The 8,140-nt window shown below is 39.6% G+C and overlaps 1 annotated feature.

The window, feature by feature from the left end:
* Positions 872-1,069: a silencer, noted in NCBI's record as "fragment chr5:152415832-152416029 (GRCh37/hg19 assembly coordinates)". NCBI's record gives its function as "represses an EF-1alpha promoter that drives an FKBP-Casp9 reporter gene in an ReSE screen in HepG2 liver carcinoma cells {active_cell/tissue: HepG2}" and the evidence as "EXISTENCE:reporter gene assay evidence [ECO:0000049][PMID:32094911]".

Raw genomic sequence — 8,140 nt, forward strand, 5'->3', positions numbered from 1 at the left:
ACTTGTAACCCTAGCACTTTGGGAGGTTGAGGTGGGGAGATCACTTGAGGTCAGAAGTTTGAGACCAGCCTGACCAACAGGGTGAAACACTGTCTCTACTAAAAATACAAAAGAAAAAAAAATAGCTGGGCATAGTCATGCATGCCTGTAATCCCAGCTACTCAGGAGGCTGAGGCACAAGAATACTTGTACCCAAAAGGCAGGAGGTTGCAGTGAGCTGAGATCACGCCACTGCACTCCAGCATGGGCTACAGACTGAGACTCAAAAAACATAAATAAAAGCTGAGAGAACATAATAAAATATGCACTTTAGTCAGAACAAAGTCAGAGAACTTACTACTCCAACAAGCAATTCTATTTCTCTAACACACAAGCACACACACACACGCACACACACTTTATTTCACAGGAGTTTAAATAAAGCTTGACTTGAATTTTACCTCAGTCACCTTTATGACAAAGAATGTGACAACATTCTTTGTGGGGTCACAATTTTCTCATTAAAAGATAGTGATTTTAATAGAACCTATCCTATAGGGTTGAAGATTAAGATACTGCCTGTAAAGTTTTTAGCACTCTACCTGCTACGCAGTGAAGTTATCTATTATTTTTATATTGTTGGTGGGGATGCCATCTGATTTTACTCACCATGTGTATCTAAGCTCTAGGACAGTGCCTATCATAGATATTTAATATTTGTTGAATGTAAGTAGTCAATTTTGTCCCAAAAAGCAGTTCTACCCAATTGAAATCTTACTAGCTATTGTGAGAAATGCAGAGCTAGCGAAGTCAAAGCTATAGCTAATATTATTTCACCTACTGAATATAGATTCAATATATTCAAATATTATTGACTCTATTTAAGAGAGCCATTTCCTCCCCGATTGCTAATAAATAGAACTCCAATTTTATTCAGCAGTCAGACAGATGGCAATGTGCTCAGCAAAGATGAGCCCCTCCTTCCACACCACGGGATGCATTTTGATTGGCTTAAACTTTGATTGCTCTAAACCAGTGGTCATGATTTCCATTCTCTCTGCCAGCAACTGGTTTAGGACAGGCATGTAAATCAGTTTTGGCTAATGAGACATTAGAGGAACTCTACTGGTAAGCTTTGGGGAAATCGTTTCTTCCCAGATTAAAAACAGGCCTGTAAGGAGGTGGGGGGGTCAGCCCCCCGCCCGGCCAGCCGCCCCATCCGGGAGGGAGGTGGGGGGTCAGCCCCCCGCCCGGCCAGCCGCCCCGTCCGGGAGGGAGGTGGGGGAGTCAGCCCCCCGCCCGGCCAGCCGCCCCGTCCGGGAGGTGAGGGGCGCCTCTGCCCGGCCGCGCCTACTGGGAAGTGAGGAGCCCCTCTGCCCGGCCACCACCCCGTCTGGGAGGTGTGCCCAACAGCTCATTGAGAACGGGCCAGGATGACAATCCCGGCTTTGTGGAATAGAAAGGGGGGAAAGGTGGGGAAAAGATTGAGAAATCGGATGGTTGCCGTGTCTGTGTAGAAAGAAGTAGACATGGGAGACTTTTCATTTTGTTCTATACTAAGAAAAATTCTTCTGCCTTGGGATCCTGTTGATCTGTGACCTTACCCCCAACCCTGTGCTCTCTGAAACATGTGCTGTGTCCACTCAGGGTTAAATGGATTAAGGGCGGTGCAAGATGTGCTTTGTTAAACAGATGCTTGAAGGCAGCATGCTCGTTAAGAGTCGTCACCACTCCCTAATCTCAAGTACCCAGGGACACAAACACTGCGGAAGGCCGCAGGGTCCTCTGCCTAGGAAAACCAGAGACCTTTGTTCACTTGTTTATCTGCTGACCTTCCCTCCACTATTGTCCTATGACCCTGCCAAATCCCCCTCTGTGAGAAACACCCAAGAATGATCAATAAAAAATAAATAAATAAAATTTTTAAAAAAAAAAAAAAAAAAAAAAAAGAAAAACAGGCCTGTAGAGGCACTAGACTTGTCATCCCTCCTCAAATATTGACCCCTGGGGAACTGCGTTTGGCACCATGGCAACCAGCCTGGGTCCTTGAGGTGTAAAGCAAGAAATTCATAGAAAAAAAAAATCCAAGTCCACAATTATTGAGCAATTAAATTGTTATATTGCAACTGTTAGCTCCAAACTTCTATTAAATGAGATTACAAATGTTTTACTGTATAAGTCAATCTTAGTTGGTTGTTCTATTTCTTGGAAATTCAAAACATCCTAATTGATATCATAATCACTATCTTGCTAAAGCTTTCATTCCAGAGGATAGAGACAGGTACATGGAGAATTATTGTGTAACATATGAAGTCACAGGAGGGGTAAAGCTAAAATGCTGAGAAAGTTCAGGGGCAGGTACAATTACTTCCAGTTGCTTTGTTTGTCACTGGTTGGGAAGGAGTGGAGAGATAGGGTCAAATGGAAAAATCAGGAAAGGCAGTATGTCCAAACTAGCTTTTGGAATGAAATCTGAATGATGGGTAAAATTTCAATACACCAAGATGATGTACTTGTAGGTTGATAATACAACAGAAGCAAGACATGGAGGGAAATACGTCTTGTGAAATAAATGCATGGATGACATAGATGTGATGGATTACTAGGGAATACAACAGCATTTAAAAAATAAACAGTTCATAACTAGAGCTGCCCAAAGGGATGAGCTACCTCATGGAGTAGGAACACTAGAGATATTCATACTGTAGAAGCATGGCCTCTTTTCATAGATGAGAGAATTCCTGCTCATTGGAATCGATAAGAACTTAGGAATTCTACAACTTGGAGGGTGATTCTACCATTTGAGGTTGACATTAAGGAAGACAGTTGTTGTCTAACAATATGTCCACATGAGAGACAAAATCTAGAAACGAATGGTTCATGGGCCTGATTAGGAATTAAAACTCAGGTGATGATAGGCTCTTCTGAAGTTCTCAGACATCTGAGTGAGGGCCCAGTAGCCATGTTGGGTTTGGGTCTTCTCAAGTGGTTCTTATGCTTAAATCCTAATCATGTAAAGGTTTGAAATCCATGTCATAAAACAAATAACCAACTCCACAGAGTTATGAAAGAAGATTAAGTAGCACTGGTCCCTATTGGCATGACATAGTGGATACACATTGTGCTTAGAGTTAAAATGGCCTAAATTTCAAATCCTGAGTCTGCATCTTACAAGCCATATAACACAGAATAAGATACTTAACTTTCCTTAGCTAATCTATTCAAGGGAAGACTGGAGATAATGCTGACCTTAGCTTTCTGTGAGGTGAATAAAATAATTATGTGTACATGAACATTAAGTCCAATGAGTGACCTCTAAGAAACACTCTGTGGTTCTTAAAGGAATGATGGGATAAAATAATAATCTGGATATTCACAAGAATATAAGAACTTAGTTTAGTTTAAAAATGAAAGAAAAAAATGACATTGATTGGAATCTAGAAAAAAATCATTTCCCAGATAAAAATTCCAATTCTCTCCAGCATTGAGAAAATAATAGGCATACCAAGAAAGCTTTTTTTATAAGAGAATTTTGTCATTGAGATTTTAGTGATAACACTGAAGAAGAAGAAAGAAAACAGGAGGAGGAGGAAGAAGACAGCTGGCATGCCTTGAGCACATGTGGATTGCACTATGCTAAAGAATTTATATATGAAGAGTGCTACTACTACTCTCTTGGGTAAGCACTATTACTGTCCACGGTACATAAATGAAAGAAAATTGGCTTAGAAATTAGTAACCCCTCCAATAATGAATAAACTATGATTCACAATCCACTACACAACTGCTCCCCTGCTACGAGATCCTAAGCTGAGACTTGTATATTTTCAGTCATCAACTCCCAGTGTCCCTTCCAGCTATAACATTCTGTGACTCTATGTATTTTAAAAGATTTCTCTCTGCTGCAAATATAGCTTCAGGTGCCAGATATTTTTTAATCTCCACAGAAACTTGACTAAAAGGAAAAAAATGTATATAAACATATTTTCTTTTTAAAATTTAGTCACTTGTGTTGTGCTTACAAATTACATCCATCCATTATTTTATGCACAAACTAAACCAAACCTTCAAAACCAGGGAAAGAGTAACAACACTGACGTGCACTAAGAAAATTTGTAAATCCAGGTCTCTCTGCGGGTGATTAAATTGCTATTTAAAAACCATTTAGTACCAGGCAGCTCCAGGAAAAAATAGGAATATGTGAAATAGATGGGTCATTTCCCCCTCTCTATAATCTTTCATGCTGCATCTACTGAATGTTTCTTTATTGAGGCATTAGATATGGAGACGCTCATTAAAAGAGATAAGAGATTTGGGCTTATTTTTAGATTTTACTTCATAAGTATGTTGAGCCTGGTAGTAAAATAGGATTTAGAGTAAGACAGCTGTGGATTTGAATCCTGGCTCTGTTTCTTGACTATCTATGTGGCTTTGGGCACAGCTGTAAAATGAGGTTTGCCATAGTTCCCGTATCTCCAGGAGAATGTGGGGATTAAATGAGATAATAACATATAAAGTGCCCACTAGATAGTGGAGACAATATTAGCTGTTAAAAATGGGAGACTTTCTCACACCAGTCAGAATAATGATTATTAAAAAGTCAAGAAACAATAGATGCTGGTGAGGCTGTGGAGAAATAGGAATGCTTTTACACTGTTGGTGGGAATGTAAATTACTTCAACCTTTGTGGAAGATAGTGTGGTGATTCCTCAAGGATCTAGAGCCAGGAAAATCATTAGACCAAGCAATTCCGTTACTGGGTATGTACCCAAAGGAATATAAATCATTCTACTATAAGGACACATGCACACGTATGTTTATTGTAGCACTATTTACAACATCAAAGACTTGGAACCAACACAAATGCCCATCAATGATAGACTGGATACAGAAACTGTGACACGTACACACCATGCAATACTACACGGCCATAAAAGGGAATGAGATCATGTTCTTTTCAGGGACATGGATGAGGCTGGAAGTCATCATCATCAGCAAACTAACACAAGAACAGAAAACCAAACACCTCATGTTCTCACTCGTAAGTGGGAGTTGAACAATGGGAACACATGGACACAGGGAGGGGAACAACACATACCAGGGCCTGTTGGGAGGTTGGGGGTGAAGGTAGGGAACTCAGAGGATGGGTCAATAGGTGCAGCAAACCACCATGGCACATGTATACCTATGTAACACATCTGCATGTTCTACACATGTATCATGGAACTTAAAGTAAAATAAAAAAGGGAGACTTTAGTCAGGCTTGAATCAATGTTTTAAAAGAAAATGTAGCAGTATGAGATAAGGAAAAATGTGCACAAGAAAGGGCAGCAGGAAGAATGTGTTGTTCTTTGAGACTGGTGAGAGGGGGGTGCCCAAGGGTGTTGGTGTATAGATAAATATGGAGGTAGAGGAGAGGACAGAGCACTTCTGAGGGCCTCCACTTCATGATGACCAAGGGAGCAGAATAATCAGAGAACAGTGAAGGGAGTGAGGATCAAATAGGGACCTTGTGCTAAGAGGTGAAAGTACAATAATTGTTGAAGTTAGTGGGAGAACAGAAAAAATAAAAGGATTTGCTGGCAGCACCTGTGGCTGATCTGAGATGAGAGGCTGTGAGTGTGCAAGGGTGCCAGCATCCACAACCATGTGATGATTTCACAGCAAAACCTGGCCTCCTGGATATGCACAGAGAGAAGTAGAGAGCAGCACAGATCCAGGACTAGAATATTCTTTTTTTTTTACATTAAAAAAATTATTTAGCTATTTTCAAACATCACGAATATATAACATGAATACGTATGTAATCATAATCCAGTTTTAACAATCCTCAGCATTTTGCCAATCTTGTTTCTGTTGATTGCATTTAAAGCATTATGATACTTTTATAGTTGGCTCTATAAAAACTCACAAGACTTATCATGTCTGAGAGCTTGCTTTATGAACATAAATCCAAGTATCAAATGGTCATAAGTCTCATACCAAAGAACAGAATAGAAGATAGCTCTGTGAAACAGTAATGCATTTTTTTGTTTGTTTGTTTTAATTATACTTTAAGTTCTGAGATACATGCGCAAAATGTGCAGGTTTGTTACATAGGTATACATGTGCCATGGTGATGGTTTGCAGCAACCATCAACCCGTCATTTACATTAGGTATTTCTCCTAATGCTATTGCTCCCCTAGCTCTCCACCCCCCGACAGGCCTACGTGTGTGATGCTCCCCTCCTTGTGTCCATGTGCTCCTATTATTCAACTCCCACTTAAGAATAAGAACATGTGGTGTTTGGTTTTCTGCCCCTGTGTTAGTTTGCTGAGAATGATGGTTTCTAGCTTCATCCATGTCCCTGCAAAGGACATAAACTCATCCTTTTTATGACTGCATAGTATTCCATGGTGTATATGTTCCACATTTTTTTTTCCAGTCTATCATTGATGGGAATTTAGGTTGGTTCCAAGTCTTTGTTTTTGGGAATAGTGCTGCAATAAACATGCGCATGTGTCTTTATAGTAGAATGATTTATAATCCTTTGGGTATATCCCCAGTAATGGGATTTCTGGGTCAAATGGTATTTCTGGTTATAGGTCCTTGAGGAATCACCACACTGTCTTCCACAATGGTTGAACTAATTTACACTCCCACCAACAGTGTAAAAGTGTTCCTATTTCTCCACATCCTCTCCAGCATCTGTTGTTTCCCAACTTTTTAATGATCACCATTCTAACTGGCGTGAGATGGTATCTCATTGTGGTTTTGATTTGCATTTCTCTAATGACCAGTGATGATGAGCTTTTTTTCATGTTTGTTGGCTGCACAAATGTCTTCTTTTGAGGAGTGTCTGTTCATATCCTTTGCCCACTTTTTGATGGGGCTGTTTTTTTCTTGTAAATTTGTTTAAGTTCCTTGCAGATTCTAGATATTAGCCCTTTGTCAGATGGATAGATTGCAAAAATTTTCTCCCATTCTGTAGGTTGCCTGTTCACTCTAATGATAGTTTCTTTTGCTGTACAGAAGCTCTTTAGTTTAATTAGATCCCATTTGTCAATTTTGGCTTTTGTTGCCATTGCTTTTGGAGTTTTAGTCATGAAGTCTTTGACCATGCCTATGTCCTGAATGGTATTGCCTAGGTTTTCTTCTAGGGTTTTTATGGTTTTAGGTCTTACGTTTAAGTCTTTAATCCATCTTGAATTGATTTTTGTATAAGGTGTAAGGAAGGGATCCAGTTTCAGCTTTCTACATATGGTTAGCCAGTTTTCCCAACACCATTTATTAAATAGGGAATCCTTTCCCCATTCTTGTTTTTGTCAAGTTTGTCAAAGATCAAATGGTTGTACATGTGTGGCATTACTTCTGTGGCCTGTTTTGTTCCATTGGTCTATATATCTGTTTTGGTACCAGTACCATGCTGTTTTGGTTACTGTAGCCTTGTAGTATAAAGTCAGGTAGTGTCATGCCTCCACCTTTGTTCTGTTTGCTTAGGATTGTGTTGGTGATGTGAGCTTTTATGGTTCCATATGAAATTGAAAGCAGTTTTTTTACAAATTCTGTGAAGAAAGTCAATGGTAGCTTGATGGCGATAGCATTGAATCTATAAATTACTTTGAGCATTATGGCCATTTTCGTGATATTGATTCTTCCTATCCATGAGCATGGAATGTTTTTCCATTTGTTTGTGTCCTCTTTTATTTCCTTGAGCAGTGGTTTGTAGTTCTCCTTGAAGAGGTCCTTCACATCCTTTGTAAGTTACATTCCTAGGTATTTTATTATCTTTGTAGCAATTGTGAATGGGATTTCAGTCATGATTTGGCTCTCTGTTTGTCTATTACTGGTGTATAGGAATGCTTGCGAATTTTGCACATTGATTTTGTATCCTGAGACTTTGCTGAAGTTGCTTATTAGCTTAAGGAAATTTGGGGCTGAGACAATGGGGTTTTCTAAATATGCAATCATGTTGTCTGCAAACAGACAATTTGACTTCCTGTATTCCTATTTGAATACGTTTTATGTCTTTCTCTTGCCTGATTGCCCTGGCCAGAACTTCCAATACTATGTTGAATAGGAGTAGTAAGAGAGGGCATCTTTGTCTTGTACCAGTTTTCAAAGGGAATGCTTCCAGCTTTTGCCCATTAAGTGTGATATCAGCTGTGGGTTTGTCATAAA

Source organism: Homo sapiens, chromosome 5, assembly GCF_000001405.40.
Source record: "Homo sapiens chromosome 5, GRCh38.p14 Primary Assembly".
Lineage (NCBI taxonomy): Eukaryota > Metazoa > Chordata > Mammalia > Primates > Hominidae > Homo > Homo sapiens.